Source organism: Homo sapiens, chromosome 9 (genome assembly GCF_000001405.40).
Source record: "Homo sapiens chromosome 9, GRCh38.p14 Primary Assembly".
NCBI lineage: Eukaryota > Metazoa > Chordata > Mammalia > Primates > Hominidae > Homo > Homo sapiens.
In genome coordinates this window covers 18,016,065-18,039,017 of record NC_000009.12, presented here as the reverse complement: position 1 = coordinate 18,039,017, position 22,953 = coordinate 18,016,065, and the positions used below count along the sequence as shown (strand labels likewise).

The 22,953-nt window shown below is 38.4% G+C and overlaps 1 protein-coding gene across 8 annotated transcripts in view; it reads right to left on the bottom strand.

The window, feature by feature from the left end:
- The window catches only part of ADAMTSL1 (ADAMTS like 1), a 1,004,318-nt gene that overhangs the window by 871,933 nt on the left and 109,432 nt on the right, over nt 1-22,953 (bottom strand). Inside the window, exon 1 of one of the 8 annotated variants that reach the window (XM_017015310.2) lies at nt 843-7,710. The exons of the other annotated variants lie outside the window; for them this stretch is intronic. Coding sequence (XP_016870799.1) covers nt 843-941 — 99 coding nt within the window. The 5' untranslated portion in view covers nt 942-7,710. Of the gene's footprint in view, nt 1-842; nt 7,711-22,953 lie in introns of those variants that run through there. 8 annotated transcript variants of the gene reach the window in all.

Below are 22,953 nucleotides of genomic sequence, written 5' to 3'. Positions count from 1 at the left end.
GTTAGTGCTTTCTTTATTAATCCTATGAAGAGAAGTACATGAGTTTTATAGAAGATAACCCATTCATCCTTTAACTAACTTATGTGTTCATAGCTTTGTCACTGGTAATTACTGTGGCAGAAATCTGACCTTCAGCTATGTGGGAAGTTATGGTACTGGTAAAGTTTACACAATAGACTCTCTGTAACAATTGCTTTCCAATGGAGAAGTGGAACAAGCACATCTTCTTTACTTTCTTGTTAGATGCTTTATGCTCATTATCTAAACTTCATGTGAAAAGTTGGTGGTAAGTTGTTAGAAGACAGACAGCTGAGAAATAATGGAGCTGGGATTCAAATCTAAACCTGGAATAATCCAAGCCAGCACACCCTCCCTTAGGTAATGCTAGTTCATCTAGCTGATTTCTCTGTTTTCCCGCTTTTCTGTATCACCCTTTGAAATCCTTTAGGCAAAATAGCAGACACAAAAGATACAGGTTGAGATAAAATATCGAATTGCCATCAGCTTGAAAACTGTAATGACTGCCAATGTGTTTTATGCTTTCAAAATCTGGACTTTTATTTAAAGTGAAAAAAAGTTTCTCCTTGATCTTTCAAGGAGGTTAGGGCCTTCTTGATTTCTTAATTAATTGACTTGCTGGCAGGAATAGTTTTGGTTTTGATTTTGGTTTTGGCTTTAGAGTATAGAGAGAATGGACCATTCTAAGATCCCCAGAGGCCCAGAGAGGGGCAACAGCCAAAAATGCCACTTGGAAATGTTCCCAAGCTGCTGCCTGATTAATAGCCACCCGGGAATGAACAACCGAGGCTCACATGGGCAAGTCTCATGAGCAGATGGTCTACCTGATGGCAGAGGTGTGGTTGACGCTTCAGTGAAAGACACACATAATTGGTGGCCATAATGGCGGGAAGCCAGGTCAGTGACATCCATGGATACTGCATCTTGTTGGTCCCAGCTTTGAATCACACTTTCCCAAGTGCTCTTTGATTTCTCGTATCATCACGATCACTGAAATAAAAAATTGCATCACCCTAAAATACTTTAGATTCTTGGTATATATGCCAGACCAGACCAGACAAATCCAAAAGTAGAGTCAGGATTTTGAAGCCTGCTGGGGATGTTTTTCCTGGAGAACATGCCTATTTTAATTGCGCACCATTTGTTTTGTTTCTGTAATAAATCTTCAGATGCTATTTCTGCACGCTGTATTTGGAGAGGATGCATTTCTCTTATATGGAACAATTTTACTTCACTCACGTAAGAAGTTATAAAGGTGAGTTCTTGTTACATACATAAAAAATAAGCCTTTTAAACTTTATTATATGCATCAGGATTTGGGTTCCAATAGGCTGGAATTCTTCAGAGGAGCTATCTGAAATCTTATACAAAAAACATCTTTAGAACTCTAAAAGGAAGCATTTAATTACTATCTCCTATATATACACATTTCATAGTTTTGAAATACTTTGACAATCATTAACACTTATTTAATATACTACAGAAAGAAGTGTATTTTAGAAAAAGGGGAAAAAATATAAGCAAGTCTCTAAGAAGTTAAGCAATAGATCAACTTTTGTGACTATCATGAGTAAGGGCTCCATCTCTACCTCCAGACTGATGTTTGTGCTCTAAAGTACTAAGTAGTCCTGCAAATTTGTGTAGGGGACCACAGACACTCAGAAGAGAGTAAAGCTTTTGTGATCTTTTATCTGTGAAAACTGACAGGCCTTAGAAACTGACCAAATATACGACATGCAAGGATCAAATTAAAGGGACTACAAGTCCCACCTTGTATTCTTATTTTTCCCTTAGCAACATGATTTTCCCAGCTCTAGCTTGAAGTTTTTTTCCCTGAAGCTTGAAGTTTCATGAGTGCAAACTGATTTAATGCATAGTTCATCATTTAAAATGCAAATACTTCCAAGAGATGTTGTAGTCATAAAGATATCAGCATGAATTAGCATTACAAGAGATTAGACGACACATCACCTAGGAAGCCCCAAAAGGGAGGGGACAAAAGAGAAGTGAGTTTTGAGTTTGTTAGTGGCAGAAAGCACAGATTGGTTAGATGCACATCCAATAATACCATGTAATAGTGAGGGTAGGGTGTTCCTCTAGGCAACCAGAAAATAGCAGGACACTACTGTGTCCATAAGGAAACTCTAAAAGAAGAGATGATGAAAGGGAGAGTATTAAGAGGAAGTTTAAAGCAAATTTCTACCTATCTCAATAATGTGGTCTGAACTTTGGCCTATATACTGAAAGCAGGAGAATCTTAACACATAATTAGAGGAAACCCATATCAATGTAGGTCTTTACCAAACGAAGATATCTGATACCTCCTAAGCCTATTTTCTTTGCTTCCCCAGTATGTGTCACTGATCTGATTACTCTGGAGATTAACGCTAAAATGTGCTATGCTGTTTTCAGCAAGATCTGAGTATTACTTAAACAACAAGGTATTAGCTAATGCCAAACCAAACATACCATGGCCAGAATTGTGCCTGCTCCACAGCCACAAATGCTAAAAATAAAGATGTGATATTATACCTAGAGTTACTTTGACCAAGTGCATATTTCTTTACAAAGTATTTATCCAGTCTAATGGAGAACAAAGTCAACTGGAAGATGTTCATATTCTGAAAAGCATTTTATTACATGGGGTAATGCAGAGTATACGGAGAATCCACGGGCCTTTGGGAAAAGTGAAAATTCCATAGAAGGAGTTAGAAAGGCCTCTCAACCTCTTCCCTGCCTCTCTTTTTGCAGGGCCAGCCTGCCTTCCTCTTTCTATAGTCCAGCCACTTGACTTATTACAATTCCTTCAACCAGTAATGCTTTAAAGTATGCCTGGAAGAGGCATCCTCCTTCTGTCATTCTTTACTTGGCCAACTCCTAACCATCCTCAAGTCTCAGCTTGGTCATTTGTTCAGGGAAGTCTTCAGTGACCTCCTACATGAGATCCCTTGTGTAGCACAGTGTTCCTGGAACAAAACACTCATCTCATTTTATTGTAATGTTGGTGTAGGCTTTCTTGGCTAGATAGCAAGATAGGGGGTAAGGACCAAATCTATTTGTTTTCCACTATAGGTCCCCATCACCAGCACAGCTCTTAGCATATATAGGGCATGACAAAAATTATTTTTTGAGTAAGTTATTTTGTTACTTAATTCAACATATAATTACTAAGCACTTACTAACACCTACTACTACAGCATCATTCTGGGTATATTGTAATAACGAAATAGTCAATGAGACCTGCCCTCATAGAGCTTAAATACTAGTAAAGACAGCAGACGATGATCATAATAAACAAGTAAACCATGAAGAATGTCAGGAGGTGGGGAGCACTATGGGAGGAAAAACTTGAGCAGGGCAAAGGGGGTTAGGAGTGCCCAGGGAAAATAGGTTGCAATTTTAGATGTCATTAAGGCAGGCCTCATTGAGAAGGGGATCATCTGAACAAAGACTTGATGAGGTGGTGAGGAAGTAAATTGTATAAGTATCTGAAGAGAAAACATGCCAGCCCAAGTAAACGGACTGCTTTCCCTGGGATAACTGATGCTATTACCCCTCTTCCTCATATCTCCTCACCATCGCAATCCCTACAAGATAAAGGACACAATCTGGACTTTTTGCTCCTCCTTTGGCTGCCAAGAGAAAACGATAGGTCCACTTCAATTGAAGCACATCATTTTTCTTCTCCTGGATGAATTCAGGATGTGCAAAAAGGATGCAGCATAAATATGCCTAACAGGCATTCCTCTATTTGGCCATAAAAAGCCGCTGTCTATGCTGAGAACCTTGGAGGTAGAGGAGCAGCTGTGGGAATTTTAAAGCTCTCTTTATGCACAGTCCCATGTTTAGTAACATACTAACTTAAGCACAATTTATCCTTTGATAAAGATAATTTTAATTATTAAAATATCTTTTTAAATTAGAGTAACTTCTTATAGAAAAAGTCCTCCATAGTTGAGGTGAACCAAGAGACAGTTGGGATCAAACCTGAGACAATCATAACAGAGAAGGAACTAGAACACAGGATACAGACTAGATATCATAGCAAAGGAAAGTGAAGACTAGAACAATCTGATTACCATACCGAGGAGTTTAAAATATATTTGTTAGAACATGAGGAAAGACTGAAATATTCAGCTCAGAGACGAATACAACTTTTCCTTTATAAAAATAAGACTAAAAGTTTTTTAGGATGTTCCAAGTGTGTCAAAAATGGAGAAAAATAGAAACAAAACAACTTATACAATCTTGGTAGCAGTAGTTCAAGTTAATGAGAGGCAAAGCCAGAGTAGAGAAAGTAAGAATAAAAATGAAGGCACGAATGACACAGGTAAAACTATTAGGACTTAATGATATCCACAGAGAAGGAGAGAAAACTGTCAGATGGTACTGAGGTTTGGTGCTAAGTTCACTAAATGAATGGTAGTTTTCTTACCAAAAATATAGAAGTCAAGAGGCAAAACTGGTTTGAAAAAAGGGAAAGAAAATGATGAGTTTATGTTTCTATATACTTAAGATCCTGGTGAAAAACACAATGGATATTTCTAGGAGATAGAAATATGCAACAGGAGGCTGACTGGCTAATAGAGACAGGAGTAAAAGCAAGATGGCCAGAGAGGAGAGTTTGAAGGAGGGTGGCTTTAGAGAGTTTGGTTTGGGAATTAGAAAGTAAGAGTGATGTTTAAAGAAAGGAGTTTCAGTGGAGCCACAGGGCAGATGCCAAGCTAAAGAAGGCCCAGGAAATGATGGACAAGTGGTGGGAAATGAAGGCTAGCTTCTATAGAAGGTTGTTAATGAGAAGGGTGAGAAAAAGTGTTAAGTCAAGGGGTTAGAGATTCAAAGAAAAGTTTTTATGATTGTTTTAAGGTGGGAAAGAGAAAAGTATGCTTGTAGAAAATGAGAGATATAAGGAAACAATTGAAAAAGCAAGAGAGACATAGAACAATAGAAAGAACCTCACTCTGAGAGTAAGAGCTGCTGACTTTGATTTCTACCCTCTTACTCTGAGAGAAGAGAGGAGGGAAGAAAAGTACAAGGAATGATAACAGAGACAAAACTTGTTAGAAGGACTTTATTGTGATAATGTATACAAAAGTTAAAGAAGAAAATAACCAACAAAAATATACTGGACATCTACTATGTTGGGTTATGTGGAGGATGCAGACATGTATAAGAGAGGGGTCTCCCCTCAAAATAATTCAGGTTAATGGGTATACTCAAGGGCTGCAAACAGTAGATGCTGATTATAGTATGAGTATAAAGATGGAACTATAGCGTGCAGACGGTGAGGGCAAGAGCTAATTGTGGACTGAATATGAAACTTGGTTGTCTTAAAGTTCAAACCTGGAGTACCAAGTTGAGAGATTGTTTCCATTTCTGTATCAAAGGATGGTTACCATCAAAGTCATATTTCTAATCTTGCCTCCGGGAAACAGGCTGGTTAGAAGGACATTCCCTAAAACCTTTTTTCAGTTTTTTAGATGAGTATATGTATTTGAAGCTGACTTTGGACAACTAGAGGAGCTTCACTCAATGGAAAGAAGTGGAAACAATGTGTTAAAATAACATTTACAGCAACTTAGTAAACTTTAGTGATTTCTTTAACGTTTTATTTCTTAATTGACACAGATTATATGTATTTATGGTATACAACATGGTATTTTGATATGTGTACACACTGTGGAATGAGTGACTCAAGCTAATTAATACACCCATTAGATGACAGACTTATTTCTTTGGAATAAGAACATTTTAGTCATTTCTTATTAAAGTGGTACCATAAGAATCTATTTCACTAATTTTGAAAAACAATTCATAATTATCCTTGATAGCGACATTAAATGAAGAATGAAGAGACCTATTTATCACACGCTATGAGGTCAGAAATAAGGAAGTTATTATATTATTTTTGTATAATTTTAAAATAAGATTGGGAAGGGACAAGATGGCTAACTAGGCATAGTGGGGAGGTGCCTGTCCCACAGAGAGAAACCAAAATATCAAGTAAACGATTACATTTCGAACAGATCTTTTGACAGAAAACAGCTAAAGTCAATAGAGAGGTGATGCAGACACTGAAGCTGAAGAAGGAGGAAGTGGGAAGCCCCACACAGAGTCACTGAGCACCAGGACAGGTTGCTGGTCCTGAACAGGTCCTTTGGAAGGGATGAGTAAAGGAACTCCAAAAAACCCACAGTTCCACCACAGACTTCTGTGATTCTGGCCACAAGAGATACCACAACCCCCACAGACATTTGCATTGGCAAGGGGATCTGCCTGGAGAGTAGGTAGAGGAAGAGCTTGGTCTTGTGCGGAGCCCAGAAGCTTACAAGGGGCAGCTACAGCAAAACGGAACCACAACTATCCCTCTTCCAAGACTCTCCATGTTGCTGACTGGCTGCAGCCCCTGCTGACTGCCAGCCAGCAGAGAGCAGGGCTACCTCTCCCATGGTACTAAGGTGCATCTGATCTCTGTGCCCCCTTGTCTGCCAACCCCTCCCAAAACTGCCTACCTGGCTGCTCCCGCAGGAGGGTGTACACAGCTCAGCCTCCACTGCCCCACCCGGATGTTTTGCCAATAGCCTGAGAGCAGTTCGGACTCCTCAGCACAGCCAGTACTCAGTCCTGAGGGTCCAGAGGACAAAGCTGTGGGCTAAGTCCCAACTTTCTAGGATTCGAGCACACTACCCTGAGGGGTATTGAGCTAAGGTCTGTGGCCAGAGCTTGGGCAGAGGAGGAGCCACCACTCTTGGGACACAAAGAAGAGTGAGGTGCTGGTTTGTGTGCCAGTGTAGGAGCCAGGCATCCCTCCCTTTGCAAGACTGGTCCAGGAAGGGTGTAGCTGTTGGCCAGCCACAGCTTCTGCCCAAGGAAACCATACAGCCCTGAACACGTGGAAGAGCCCAGTTATATGAGCACAAGAAGGCTTGGTACAAATCTAGCTGGGCGGGCCTGCTCCTAGGGAAGACACTAGAAGGAGACCCAGTCTGAAAAGCATGAACTAGGTGGACCCCACAGTCATCAGCTGGACTAAAATCCCTGGGCTGTGGGCACCATACCAATTTCACATCTATGGCACCACTGCCCTGCCCAGGATCATGTGCCTTTGACCCCTGTATCATCAGACCACTCACAGACATATCCCACAGCCCACTCTGACCCTGCCAAGCTCAGAGGACCAGCAGGTTCCTGGGGAGTTACAGGTTTCCTGGCAATCTAACCTTTGGCTCAGGCCACCCCTAAAGGAGGGGAGAATGCAGCCCAACAAGGTCCCCCATGGGACTAAGGAAATGCAGGAACAATGCCAACGATTGGAAAAGGCTCCACCAAAGCCCTGGAATGGACTTGGAGGGTGGGTGGGGGCAGGTATCTCTCACCCTCCCATCTCCCCTTCCCCAGAGCACTGCTACATATGCATCAAGATATAAAAGAAGTATGTAAGAGACCATCTGCTGGCCCTTACTCTTATGCACCATCTATTGGACTAGAGCCTGAATTATATGAACAAACAAAAATTCCTTCAGCACCCAAAAGCCTGTAAAACCCAATGCAGGAAGCAATCTACAACAAAGAAACCCAAACACAGCCTCAGCACTCTGAAAGCAGCCAGAAAAAAAGCCAATCAACTATACACAACACACCACAGTCAAGGCTTCAAAGGAAAAAAAGAATATAAAAACAAAAAGCCCCATGAAAACAGCAGCAATTTCAAAAAGGAAAATAAACACCAGCCTCCTCAGATGAGAAGGAATCAGTGCAAGAACTCTAGCAATTTAAAAATTCAGAGTGTTTTTTCACCTCTAAAGGATTGCGGTAATTCCCTAGCCAGATTCAAATGTCTGAAGCATAGACATAGAATTCAAAATCTGGACGGCAAAGAAGCTTAACAAAATTCAAGAAAAAAATGAAATCTAATCCAAGGAAACAAGTAAAACAATCCAAGAGTTTAAAAGATGACGTAGCCATTTTAAGAAAAAACCAAAGTGGACTTCTGGAGTTGAAAAATTCACTACAGAAATTTTAAAATACAATTGAAAGCCTTAATAACAGACTAGACCAAGCTCAGGAAAAAAATTCAAAGCTCAAAAACCAGTCACTCAAATTAACTCAGTGAGACAAAAATAAAGAAAAATGAATTTTTAAAAATGATCAGAGCCTCCAAAAATATGGGATTATGTAAAGAGATCAAACCTATGATTCATTGGCATTCCTGAGAGAGAAGGAGAGAAAGTAAGCAACTTGGAAAACATATTTGAGTATACAGTCCACAAAAATTTCTCCAATTTTACTAGAGAGGTCAATTCTCTCTAGTAAATTTCATGCAAATTCAAGAAATTAAGAGAAGTCCTGTGACATACTGTACAAAAAGACCACCTCTAAGAAACATAAGTCATCCGACTTTTTCAAGGTCAACACAAAAGAAAAATATTTTTTTTTCTTTTTATTAATATTATACTTTAAGTTTTAGGGTACATGTGCACAATGTGCAGGTTAGTTACATATGTATACATGTGCCATGCTGGTGTGCTGCACCCATTAACTCATCATTTAACATTAGGTATATCTACCTCCTAATGCTATCCCTCCCCACTCCCCCCACCACACAACAGTCCCCGGTGTGTGATGTTCCCCTTCCTGTGTCCATGTGTTCTCATTGTTCAATTCCCACCTATGAGTGAGAACATGTGGTGTTTGGTTTTTTGTCCTTGCGATAGTTTGCTGAGAATGATGGTTTCCAGTTTCATCCATGTCCCTACAAAGGACAAGAACTCATCATTTTTTATGGCTGCATAGTATTCCATGGTGTATATGTGCCACATTTTCTTAATCCGGTCTATCATTGTTGGACATTTGGGTTGGTTCCAAGTCTTTGCTATTGTGAAAAATGCCGCAATAAACATATGTGTGCATGTGTCTTTATAGCAGCAGGATTTATAATCCTTTGGGTATATACCCAGTAATGGGATGGCTGGGTCAAATGGTATTTCTAGTTCTAGATCCCTGAGGAATCGCCACACTGACTTCCACAATGGTTGAACTAGTTTACAGTCCCACCAACAGTGTAAAAGTGTTCCTATTTCTCCACATCCTCTCCAGCACCTGTTGTTTCCTGACTTTTTAATGATCACCATTCTAACTGGTGTGAGATGGTATCTCATTGTGGTTTTGATTTGCATTTCTCTGATGGCCAGTGATGAAGAGCGTTTTTTCATGTGTTTTTGGCTACATACATGTCTTCTTTTGAGAAGTGTCTATTCATATCCTTCACCCACTTTTTGATGGGGTTGTTTGTTTTTTTCTTGTAAATTTGTTTGAGTTCATTGTAGATTCTGGATATTAGCCCTTTGTCAGATGAGTAGGTTGCGAAAATTTTCTCCCATTCTGTAGGTTGCCTGTTCACTCTGATGGTAGTTTCTTTTGCTGTGCAGAAGCTCTTTAGTTTAATGAGATCCCATTTGTCAATTCTGGCTTTTGTTGCCATTGCTTTTGGTGTTTTAGACATGAAGTCCTTGCCCATGCCTATGTCCTGAATGGTATTGCCTAGGTTTTCTTCTAGGGTTTTTATGGTTTTAGGTGTAACATGTAAGTCTTTAATCCATTTCGAATTAATTTTTGTATAAGGCATAAGGAAGGGATCCAGTTTCAGCTTTCTCCATATGGCTAGCCAGTTTTCCCAGCACCATTTATTAAATAGGAAATCCTTTCCCTATGGCTTTGTTCTGGCCAGGGCAATGAGGCAGGAGAAGGAAACAAAGGGTATTCAAATAGGAAAAGAGGAAGTCAAATTGTCCGTTTGCAGATGACATGATTGTATATCTAGAAAACCCCATCATCTCAGCCCAAAATCTCCTTAAGCTGATAAGCAACTTCAGCAAAGTCTCAGGATATAAAATCAATGTGCAAAAATCACAAGCATTCTTATACACCAATAACAGACAAACAGAGAGCCAAATCATGAGTGAACTCCCATTCACAATTGCTTCAAAGAGAATAAAATACCTAGGAATCCATCTTACAAGGGATGTGAAGGACCTCTTCAAGGAGAACTACAAACCACTGCTCAATGAAATCAAAGACGACACAAACAAATGGAAGACCATTCCATGCTCATGGGTAGGAAGAATCAATATCGTGAAAATGGCCATACTGCCCAAGGTAATTTATAGATTCAGTGCCATCCCCATCAAGCTACCAATGATTTTCTTCACAGAATTGGAAAAAACTACTTTCAAGTTCATATGGAACCAAAAAAGAGCCCGCATTGCCAAGTCAATCCTAAGCCAAAAGAACAAAGTGGAAGGCATCACACTACCTGACTTCAAACTATACTACAAGGCTACAGTAACCAAAATAGGATGGTACTGGTACCAAAACAGAGATATAGACCAATGGAACAGAACAGAGCCCTCAGAAATAATGCCGCATATATACAACTATCTGATCTTTGACAAAAGAAAAATCTTAAAGTTAGCTAGAGAAAAGGGTCAGAGAAGAGAACCCCATTAGGCTATCAGAGGATTTCTGAGCAGAAACCTTACAAGCCAGAAAAGATTGGAGACCTGTTTTCAGCATTCTCTAAGAAAAGAAATTCTAACCAAGAATTTCATATAAAATCTTTTCCAGATAAGCAATCATTAAGTGAATTTGTTTCCACTACACCAGCCTTACAAGAGAACATTAAGTGAGTTCTAAAGATAGAAACAAAGGAACAATACCTGCTACTTCAAAAACACACTTAAGTACACATTGCACAGACTCCTAAAGCAACTACACAGTCAAGATTACAAAGCAACCAGCTAACAATATCACGACAGGAACAACACCTCACATACCAATAGTAACCTTGAATTTAAACAGCCTAACACTCTGCTGTCTTCAAGAGACCCATCTCACATGCATTGACACCCATAGGCTCAAAGTAAAGGAATGGAGAAAGATTACACAAACGGAAAACAAAGAGAGCAGAGGTCACTATTCTTGTATCAGATAAAATTGATTTTAAACCAAGAATAGTAAAAAAGAACAAAGAAGGTCATTACATAGTGATAAATGGTTCAATTCAACAATAAGACTTAACTCTCCTGAATACATACATACCCATCATTGGAGCACCCAGATTTATAAAACAAATACTTCTATACCTATAAAAATAAGTAGCCACACAATAATAGTTGAGGTCTTCAGTAGCCACCTGACAGCATTAGATCATTGAGGCAGAAAACAAATTAATAATGAAGTTCCAGACTTAAATTCTATACTTGACCAATTTCACCTACTAGACATGTACATAATATTCCATCCAACAACCACAGAATATACATTTTTCTCATCTACACATGGAACATACTCTAAGATCAACCACATGCTCAGCCATAAAGCAAAACTCAGTGAATTCAAATAAAATTTAAGTCATACCAAGCATACTCTCAGACCACAGAGGAATAAAAATGGAAATCAGTAACAGGAAAATCTCTCAAAACCACACAATTACACGGAAACTAAACAACTTGATCCTGAATTACTTTTGGGTAAACAATGAAGTTAAGGCAGAAATAAAAAAAAAAAAATCTTTGAAATAAATAACAGAGATACAATATACAAAATCTCTGGGATGCAGCAAAAGCAGCATTAAGATGAAAGTTTATAGTTCTAAATACCTACATCAAGAAGTTAGAAAGATCTCAAATTAACAATCTAAATTGCGCCTAGAGAAATTAGAAAAACAAGAGCAAATCAACCCCCAAGCTAGCAGAAGAAAGGAAATGACTAAAACTAGAGCAGCACTGAATGAAATACAGACCCAAAAATCTATACAAAGGACCAATGAAATCAAAAGTTTGTTCTATGAAAGGATCAACAAGTTCAATAGATCACTAGCTAGATTAACAAATTAAAAAAAAAAAAAGAGAAGACCTAAATAGCACAATCAGAAATGGCAAAGGTGATATCACAACCAATTCCACAGAAATATAATAGATCCTCAGAGACTATTATGAACACCTCTATGGATACAAACTAGAAAATCTAGAGGAAATGGGTAAATTCCTGGAAACACATAACTCCCAAGATTGAATCAGGAAGAAGGTGAAACCCTGAGCAGACCAATCAATAATGAATTCTGAAACTGAATCAGTAATAAAAATCCTACTAACCAAAAAAAGCCCTGGACAAGATGGATTCACAGCCGAATTCTACCAGATGTTCAAAGAAGAGCTGCTATCAATCCTACTGAAACTATTCCCAAAAATTGAGGAGGAGGGACTCCTCTCTAACTCATTCTACAAAGCCAGCATTGTCCTGATACCAAAATGTGTCAAAGACACAACGAAAAAAGAAAACTTCAGGCCAATATACCTGCTGAACACAGTCACAAAAATCCTCAAGACAATACTTGCAAACTAAATCCAGCAGCACATCAAAAGTTAATTCACCACTATTAAATAGCTTTATTCCTGGAGTATAAAATTTGTTTAACACACATGAATCAATAAATGTGATTCACCACATAAACAGATTTAAAAATAAAAACCACATTATCATCTCAATAGACACAGAAAAAGCTTTCAATAAAATCCAGTATCCTTCAACAAGTAAAACCCTAAACAAAGTAGCCATTGAAGGAAAATGCTTCAAAATAATATGAGCCGTCTATGACAAACCCACAGTCAACATCATGCTGAATGGGTAAATGCTGGCAGCATTTCCCTTAAGAACTGAAAGAAGACAAGAATGCTTATTTTCACCACTTCTATGTATTACAGTACTGGAAGTCCAGGCCAGAGCAATGAGGCAAGAGAAAGAAATAAAAGACATCCGAATAGAAAAAGAAGAAGTAAATAATCTCTCTTTACTGATGATGATTCCACACCTAGAAAACTCTAAAGACTCTACCAAAGGGCTCCTGGAACTAATAATGACTTCAGTAAAGTTTCAGGATACACCAGTGACATTCAAGCTGAAAGCCAAATCAAGGATGCAATCCCATTTACAATAGCCACAAAAAAATACCTAGGAATACATCTAACCAAGGAGGTGAATGATCTCTACAAGGAGAATTACAAACACTGCTGAAAGAAATCATAGGTGACACAAACAAATGGAAAAACATTCCATGCTCTTGGACTGAAAGAATCAATATTGTTAAAATAGTCATACTAACGAAAGCAATCTATAGATTCAACACTACTCCTATCAAGCTACCAATATAATTTCTCAGAGAATTAGAAAAACCTATTCTAAAATTCATATGGAACCAAAAAAAGAGACCCAAAACCCAAACCAATCCTAAGCAAAAAGAACAAAGCTAGAGGCATCACATTACATGACTTCAAACTATATCACAAGGCCACAGTAACCAAAACAGCATGGTACTGGTCCAAAAACAGACACATAGACCAATGGAACAGAATAGAGAATCCAGAAATAAAGCCACACACCTGCAACCATCTGATCTTTGACAAAGTTAGCAAAATAGGCAATGGGGAAAGGACTCTATTCAATAAATGGTGCTGGGATAACTGGCTAACCATACACAGAAGAATAAAACTGAACCCCTACCTATCACCATATACAAAAATTAACTCAAAATGAATTAAAGACTTAAATGTAAGAGCTGAAACTATAAAAATCCTAGAAGAAAACCTAGCAAGTAATCTTCTGGAAATCAACTTTGGCTAAATATTTATAACTAAGTCCTCAAAAGCAAATGCAACAAAAATAAAAATTGACAAGTGGCACCTAATTAAAAAGCTTTTACACAGCAAAAGAAACTATCAACAGAGTAAACAGACAACCTACTAAATGGGAGAAGTATTTACAAAGTAGGCATCTGACAAAGGTCTAATAGCCAGGATCCATAAGGAACATAAACAATTCAGCAAGCAAAAAAACCCAATTAAAAAGTAGGCGAAGGAAATGAACAACACTTCTTAAAAGAAGACATACAGGTGGCCAAAAAAATATGAAAAAATGCTCCACATTACCAATTTTCAGATAAATGCAAATCAAAACCACAAAGAGATATCATCTTAACAGCAGTCAGAATGGCTATTGTTAAGAAATCAAAGAATGACAAAGGCTGGCAAGGCTGTGGAGAAAAGGGAATGCTTATACACTGTTGGTGGAATGTGTATTAGTTCACCCTCTCTGGAAAACAATTTGGAGATTTCTCAAAGAACTAAAAATAGAACTACCATTTGATCCAGCAATCCCATTACTGGGTATAGGCCCAAAGGAAAATAAGTTGTTCTACCAAAAAAGACACACGTACTCGTACGTTCATTGCAGCACTATGCACAAGGGCAAAGACATGGAATCAACCTAGATGTCCATCAATGGTAGACTAGACAAAGAAAATGTGGAACATATACACCGTGGAATACTATATGGCCATAAAAAAGAATGGAATCATGTCCTTTGCAGCAACATGGATGGTGCTGGGAGCCATTTTTCTAAGCAAATTAACTCAGAAACAGAAAAATAAACACCACATGTTCTCACTTACAAGTAGGAACTAAACATTGAATTCACAGGGACATAAAGATGGGAACAATAGACACTAGGGAGTACTAGAGGAAGGAGGGAGGGAGGTGAGTAAGGGATGAGAAGCTACCTATTGGTTACTGTGCTCTCTACCTGGGTGATGAGATCATTTGTACCCCAAACCTCACCATCACACAATATACCATTTAGCAAAACCACAGATGTACCCTCAAAGCTAAAATAAAAGTTGCAATAAAAAGATAATAAATAAATAAAACACTATTTTCCTTTTATGTTAATATAAACAAAATTACTTTGTTTTAATGACCATAGTAATTATAAAACATTTACAATTATCAAGACAAAGATATCAATCCATTTTTACCAATAAAAAAATAAAGCAGTAGACTATATTTTAAAATATCTGATCAATTCATGATGTAACCAGATACAAAATGATAACTGATGACAGAGAAGAAGAAGAAAGGGAGGGAAGGGGGCACCATAAAAAGATGAGGAGACATTTGAATAAAGATCTATAAAAGAAAAGTACTTTAATTGAATATCTTGGTATTTAAAAAGTAAATATTTTCGTATTTCTTTCTGAATACGTCAGTTTAATAAATTGAGATTTTTTAGCAATTGTTATCAAACTATTTTCTCCTGAATTCTCTGCATTGCTATATTTTGCCAAGATCATTTAGCAAATTTCACATTTGCTTTCATTGCAAATCATTAGTCTTTCAAGAAACATAAGGGCAGCTATTTGAAATTTTTACACGAAGAAACAGAAAAAGGACACAAATGTCCTAACCTGAAATATTATGTATAGATGGCTACAATCCACCAGACAGAAGAAATCTGGGGAAATGTTATAATATTACTCCATTCGCACCCAACAGATAAAAATCCCAAAGCCAGCAGCTACTCTGCTCCATCCACGGGAATGTAAGTTTCAGTGTTAATGAGTCAGACGCAGGGCATTTCCTGAAGATTAAAAGCAATTTGGAGAAAGTGGCTGATCTTGGGGTTCTTGACCCCATCTGGTCATATGCAGAGAAAATAACTTATCACAAGGTTTTTTTCTTTAGCTTTTCCACAAATAAAAAACATTAACAAATAAATTGCCACAGAAACACTGTCCTAGATGAGTGTTCACAAGGTATGGTCTCCAGACCAGCAGTATCAGCATCATCTGGGAAGTCAGAAATGCAAATTCTTGAGCACCACCCCAGACCTACTAAAGCTGATACTTTGGGAGAGGGACCCAGCAATCTGTGTTTTAAGAAGCCCTTCAGGTGATTCTAATGCAGCCCACAATTTGAGTCATTGTTCTAGGTAAATTGCTCTTTCGCAGACATACATATACATATATATAGTAAATAATTCTGAACTAGAGATCTAGAAACCATCAATTTTGGAAGTACTTTCAGGAAACAGCTACTTTATAAATATTTCCAAACCATTCATTCCATTGGATAAGTCTCAAACACACACAAAAAATGTTTAAGGGCACAGGAAGAGGGAGATGGAGAGAAAGAGGAAGAGGGTAAGAGAAAAGAAACCCAGCAAGGTGGAGAAGGATGGGAGGCCAGTGAGCTGGTGATCTTGATCACTTCTTACCTAGGCAACATGATAGGGACCAAATCATGCATGGTTATTCCGGAACCAAAATAGTCAAATAGTAGGCGCTGAATAAATATTTTCAGAGTAAATAGTAATAGAGGAGACAGAATTCTTGTACATGTTCACAATAGGAAAGAAGAATTCAGCACATGCATAAATCATGCTTCTTTATATATTTTGGTTATAAAGGCTATTAGCTTTTTTAAAATTGCTTTTGCTTTATGACATTCTTAGTAAAGACTGTTTCCATATAATATACTTGAAATTCACAAGCCTTGTACACACATAAAAATCACATTCAACATGTATTCAGCTTTAATCACACACTTTTCTTCAACTAAAAAAAAAATAACATTACGTTTTCTTTATGCGACAACCTAGAGGAAGTGGAAAAATGGGCAAGAATTATTGCAGGATTTATGCTTTCCTCACCCACTTCCCATAGCCAGCTAGGAGGGAGGATATTGTGGCAGCAAGAGGCAAAGATAGTGTGGGGTGTCCACCCTTAAATAACCGAGCATCAATAATCTTGGGAAAGGGAGAACAATACAGGACAGCAGCTTGCCTCCTGCTGGGGCCAGAGTGCTGCAGCCTCCCAGAGCAGCTGCTCAGGTATCTATGACTTCCCTAAGGTCAACATGAGGTACTGGCAGTGCTCAAATTCGATTTCAGATTCTTTCCTCCTAGTTTATGGTGATCTTTCCCTTGGGGCCACAGAGAAAGTGCTGAACCAAACCTAGTTCTTCAAGGTGGTGATCAGTGCAAGGTGGGTGGTTTAGACACATCACAGGCCCACTGAGTATTAGGAGAGCAAAACAAGAAAAAAATGAGTACTGTGAATGTTAGAGGCTGTGTAGAATCTTCCTTTCTTTAACCGCCACCCTCCTCATGCCTTTTATCACCACTTTTATAGAGCTGAGGTCTAAGCCAATGAGCTTTCATTATGAACATTCTTTAGAAACATCCCCAATAGCCACCTCTGACCTGTTCATTAACTACCAGGCCAGTTCCTGATTACAGTTTGTCAGATATGTTTATTATCTTCTTGTTTCAAGAAACAGGAAAGATTAAGAATGTTCCATTCTTGACATGAGACTCCACATCTGCAATAAGCTTAAAAGAGTATATAAATAGAATAATTTCCTGGCACAACTCAACTAACAATTAATGAGAAGACCCCCAGCTAGATTAAGAGATATCTATCTCCTTTTAAATACAATCATCTGAGCAGTTATATAACTAAGTAACTTTTATTCCATAATAAACATTTATTAGACCTTACTAATAATTGTTTTCTAACAGCACAGAAAGTTTATGCTTGTCCCATGGAACCACGACACAATCGCTTGTTTTGTAAAGAGGAGATTTAAGGATAGATGTTTCAGTTCCAACCACCAACTGAAGCTCTTACAATTAGTAATGTTAGCAGCATTTTTCACATGAAAAGATAAATTAATCTCCAGACAGCCCCAAATTACAGGAGGGTCCACAGAGGAAAAATAAAGCTATATGTGAAATCCTTAACCTATTCTGTTAAGGAGTTTTTCCTTTTTAAAATGATTTGTTACAAACCACATTTCAAATATCACTACTCCACAGAAGAAAATATGAAGTGTTAACATAAAGATTTGCTGTGAACAAAGTAACTCTTGCCAAAAGTGCTATAACTATGTATTTCAGACTTCAGAAACTTGTGACCAAGTTAATCAAACCTAGAGCCCAGTCTCACAAGTGCTTCTCAAACTATAGTGTTGTATAAGAAGCACCTGTTAAAGCACAAATTGCTGAGCAAAGCCCCAGAGAGCCTGATTCATTACACCTGAGGTGAGGTCCAAGTATTTCCATTTTAATAGGATCCCAGGTGATGTCGACAGTACCACTGTGCAGACCATCCTTTGAGTGGCACTGGGGCTATCACGCCCAGATGACTAGGGATTTAAAGGGTGGCATTGAAGTTATACCACCAAGGATATCCACATCTTTCTCCTTGATATAATCATGGCTTTTAAACATAACAGTGTAAATGAGTTGCAGTTACTGACGCTTTGCTCACTCCTTGGCCAGTAGCTGATCAAATAGCAAACAAAATTGATATTCAGGAGCACCAATGAGGTAGACAGACATTTCAAGAGACTCCCTCTATGTCAGTTGATGCCTGTTCCAAGGAACCCGGGTGATATGGTTTGACTCTGTGTCTCCATCCAAATCTCATCTTGAATTGTAATCCCCAGGCGTTTAGGGAGAGACCTGGTGGGAGGCAACTGGATCATGGGGGTGGTCTCCGCCCTGCTGTTCTGTTGATAGTGAGTTCTCATAAGAGCTGATGGTTTTAAAGAGTGGCACTTCCTCATTTTTGCACACACTGTGAAGGCTTGACTGGACTGGAAGAAGGGAAGATCTCTTTCCAGACTCACTCACATGGCTGTTGGCAGGCTTTGTTCCCTCTACACAGAGCTTCCCCCACCGTAGCTGGCTTTCCTCAAAGTGAGGAAGCCAAAAGAGAATGAAAGCAGAGCACTCAGGATAAAAGCCACAATCTTTTTCACAACCTAAGTTTGGTAGTAACATCCCATCGCTTTTGCAGTGCTATATTTGTTAAAATTGAATCGCTAAATCCTGTTCACACTAAAGAGAATGATGCCAGTAGATGGGGACCATCTTAGAAACTGCCTGTCCCCTCCCCAACCCCCAATGATTCACATCCTTCACACATGAAAAATACATCCATCTACTTCCAAGGTCTACTTCCATCATCTACTTCCAAGCTATACTGAGTATAGCTCCTGGAATATAACAGACTGTAGACTTCGGAAACTAAACAGAAAAGTTCCCTTCTCCAGAGACACCAAAAATAATAGTGTTGAAGAAGGCACAGGATAACCAATGTACACATTTGTGTTCAAATGGAAGTAAATAGGAGGCATAAGGAAGTCACTGGTGCATAGTGATTCTAACATCTAACCAGGGAACTGTTAGGGACACCCTGGTTAGATTCTCAAGGCCTAAGAATAATTCTCCACTACTCTCAGCTATGCCCTCCAGGCTTTGGACTCTACTCTATAAGTCATCTTTTCTTTTTATAATGAAAGGTAACTGAACAGTTTTTCCTGCCTGCTTCCTGCCAGTAGAATTCTGAGATTCCAAAGACCTTTCTTCATTCTATACTGTCTCTGTTCCCCTAAGTCCAAGTCCAATGTTCCTGCTTAGTGGGTCACCCATGACTCCACTTGATTTCAACTCTATTAGACAAAAATCAATCCTACAAATTCTTCCAGGTAAGTCTTTCTCTACCTTGGGCTCCTGCTGAGATGGCTGAGAGACACAGTCTTAATCTTCTTAGAGGCCCTACTGAGAGAATGTGTGAGGTATACCTTCAATCTTTTAAACACCTTTCTGTGTGACTGAATAGAACACCAAGGCATTACCTTTGATCTCTCTGAGGTCTTAACAAAGGTCCGGTCACACTCTTAGCTTCATCTTTAGACTATGTTTTTCTGACAGTACTCTAAATTTGATCTTTGCTGATAAGCTATTTTTTAATTTTAGTATCATTTGTTATTTATAGAGGATGAGAATTTTGAAAACAACCAAGTCCTGACTCCTTTTCGTTTAACAATCCTTCCCCCAAATTATTTCTCTTCTCTCATTTTACTGTTATCAGAAAGAAGAAACCAGGCAGAATCTTCAACACTTTACTTAGAAGTTACCCAGTTCATTAGACATATTTTTCTACTTTTCACATAACCACAGATCAGAGTGTTGCTAAACTTTCTGCCACTACATAAACAAGAGTCCCCCTTCCTCCAGTTTTTCGAAAACATTTTCTTAACTTTCCTGCACTTTCTCACTCTCAGTGTCTTGAAAGCCAAAAATTCTATGACTAATGTGTTCAAGGTACTTTAAGCTTTTATTAACATTCTCCTAAAAGTACTACAGCATTTCTAGTTTCTGCCCACTACCTGGTTCCAAAGCCACTCCCACATTTTATGTATTTGTTATGGCAATGCTCCCACTTCCAGGTGCCAAAGTCTCTGTTTATCTATTGATACCTCGCAATTTATCCCAAAACTTAGTGCCTTAAAACAGCAAACATTATCTTGGTTTTTATGAGCCAAGAATCTGGGTGCAAACTAGCTGAGTACCTCTGGCTAAAAGTCTCTCATGAAACTGCAGTTAAGTTGATGACTGGGGCTGTGGTCTCATCCGAAGACTCAATTGGGTTGAGGGAGTGGGGAGTTTAATTGATGGGGTTTGCATATGGGGTTTATCAGTAGGATTCAATCCTTTCTTAATACACGGGCATCTCTAAGTTGCAGTTGGCTTCTCCCATAGTGATCAATCAAAGGGTGAGTGAGGGAACACTCAAGAAGAAAACCACAGCCTTTTATAATCTAATCTTGGTGACATTCCATAGCCATATTCTACATTCCATGCCATAGTCTATTAGAGGGAATTACTATTCATTCAAAAGGAGTCCATAAATAAAGGCTACATTTCAGAAGGGATTACAGAAGGGCATGAATGCCAGAGGCAAGGATTATTTCAGACAGTCTTAAAGGTTGTCTGCTACACTGTCTCAGAGTCTGTATGAAGATTAACAGAGTTAAACATAAAAAATGCTTAAAACATTATACGGTAAGTACCATATAAGTGGGCTCTTATTAATATAAGTACTATCACCACTACTGTGATTATCTTAAGCAAGAGTCACCAAACTTATTCTGTAAATAGCTAGTTAGTAAATACTTTAGGCTTTTGAGTGCACATATCATCTCTGTTGTATATTTTTCTATATATGTGTAGTTTCTTTTTACAATGCTTTGAAAATGTAAAACCCAGTCTTAGCATGAGAGCTGTACCAAAAGAGGTCACTAGCTGCAGTTATCCCTCAGGCCACAGTTTGAAAATTTCTGATATTAAGACACAAGTTTTAGAACAACAAAGATAATGGTATTTTTAAATAAAGCCTGACATTACATGTGCATTGATCTGACAGGTACAATGCTATTTTAGCAGAGGGAGATTACTTCACATGCCAGGAAAAGACAGCCTGTTCCTGTAAGAAATGACACAATCTTTCTTTGCTGATAGAATTTTAATGGCGGCAGGGAAAGAAACAGAACCACATAAACTAGGGTGGAATTTGGGAAGTTGGATATAATTACCTAAATTGAAACGTAGCCAGTTCACAGCTCCTCCAGAGGGTGAAAAATCATGTGACCTATTAGATTTAAGAAAAAATTTGATCATAATTTCATGTTCAATTCTAAAGACAGGATTTCCAACAAAAATGCTCGCAGACCGTATCATTGGAGCTATACATGGCTTCGGAGCCAAATTTAAGAGAAGAGAGGTGCCACAGATAGGACTCCATGAGTAGAGGGGGAAATTGAACTCTAATTTCCTTGATGGTCTATCCTGTAAGGTGTCAACATAATTTTTCCCAACAGGCTTCTCAAATTTGGGGGGATTACAAAACAAACTGTCAGTGCTGAAACTAAGCAGGTGTTAAAAGCAGGGTCTGGGAAAGCAGGATACTCCCCCTGCTGGATTTAGAAACTTGGAAGCATATTCCAAAAAACCCACAAAACTTCAGTATGTACCTAACATTCAGAACGAATATGAAGAGCTCTGTCATCTTTTACATAATCACCACCACCTTGTATTTTATAGGGCTTTTAACTTTGCAAAGAACAACATGAACAAGATATTGGGCATGAATATCCTTTGTAAACTATAACTTGCTATAGTAGAGATGGAAAATAGGTTTAATCTTTTGTGCAAAATCTGATCTATCTGGAATCATTGCATGGGTCCCAGTGTTGAAAAGTTTGAGTCCATGCCTGTGCTCAGCTAGAAAAAGAGAAGGGAAAGTATCCAGTGATGTGGGAGGATGTAATAAGGGTACATATGCTAGGTATCTGCCATCCAACTAGTATGAAAGTGTATGGTGTTATCTCCCCCAGTTTTTTCATATTTAATTCACAGAAAAAATATTTTTATGATTTGAGTCACAAATTTTGCTACAAAGCCAGCTTCCAAAGTTTGATTATACTGACCATAAACATGACGCAGAATACTGGTCACCTGAACGCAGGGACCATATTCTGCTGGCCATCCACCAATTTGAAGTTAAATTTTATACCCTAAATACCAACACAAATTGTTAGGTACTTTTTTTGTACATGGCACCTTGATGGGACATGGGAGATTCAGTCTAAAAATGTAACTGAGTCTCTTTCTTCTGGACTAGTTTTATCTCATAATTTGTATTCCATTTTATAATTATTCACTATGTGCACAGAGTTGGTAAGGGGGTCAGGAGTGGGATGGAAAAATTAGAAGATATCATGTACATCAGGGTCTCTGTAATCAGGTATCTTGCAAATGTTGGGGAAAATATTTACTTACAGGACTCTGTTCTGTGCTTCTGTGAGTTTCAAGTACAATGGAATCCATACCACACCATGAAGACCATCAGCTTGCAAAAGGACAACCGATACTAGAAACTATGACAAGAATTATCTATGTTTACTGACATCAAGAAGAGGGGCCACTTGACCCAAGAGTTCACGACAATGACAAGAACTTTCTTCTCAACCCACTTAAGAGACTGTAAGGACAGCTAGGAGCTGGGTACTCTGGTATTCACAGATACTTGAGTCCTAAATTCAATGACAACTAATTGTGTTTCTGTTTTCACTAGAAAGAAAAGGCAGCCATTAGAGTGGATGTACATTGAATACATGTCTTCTGACTCTCTCTCTTATGTTTACCCCATAACAGGAACATTCCCGCCTATTTAAATCCTTGAGGAAGTTATTAAGA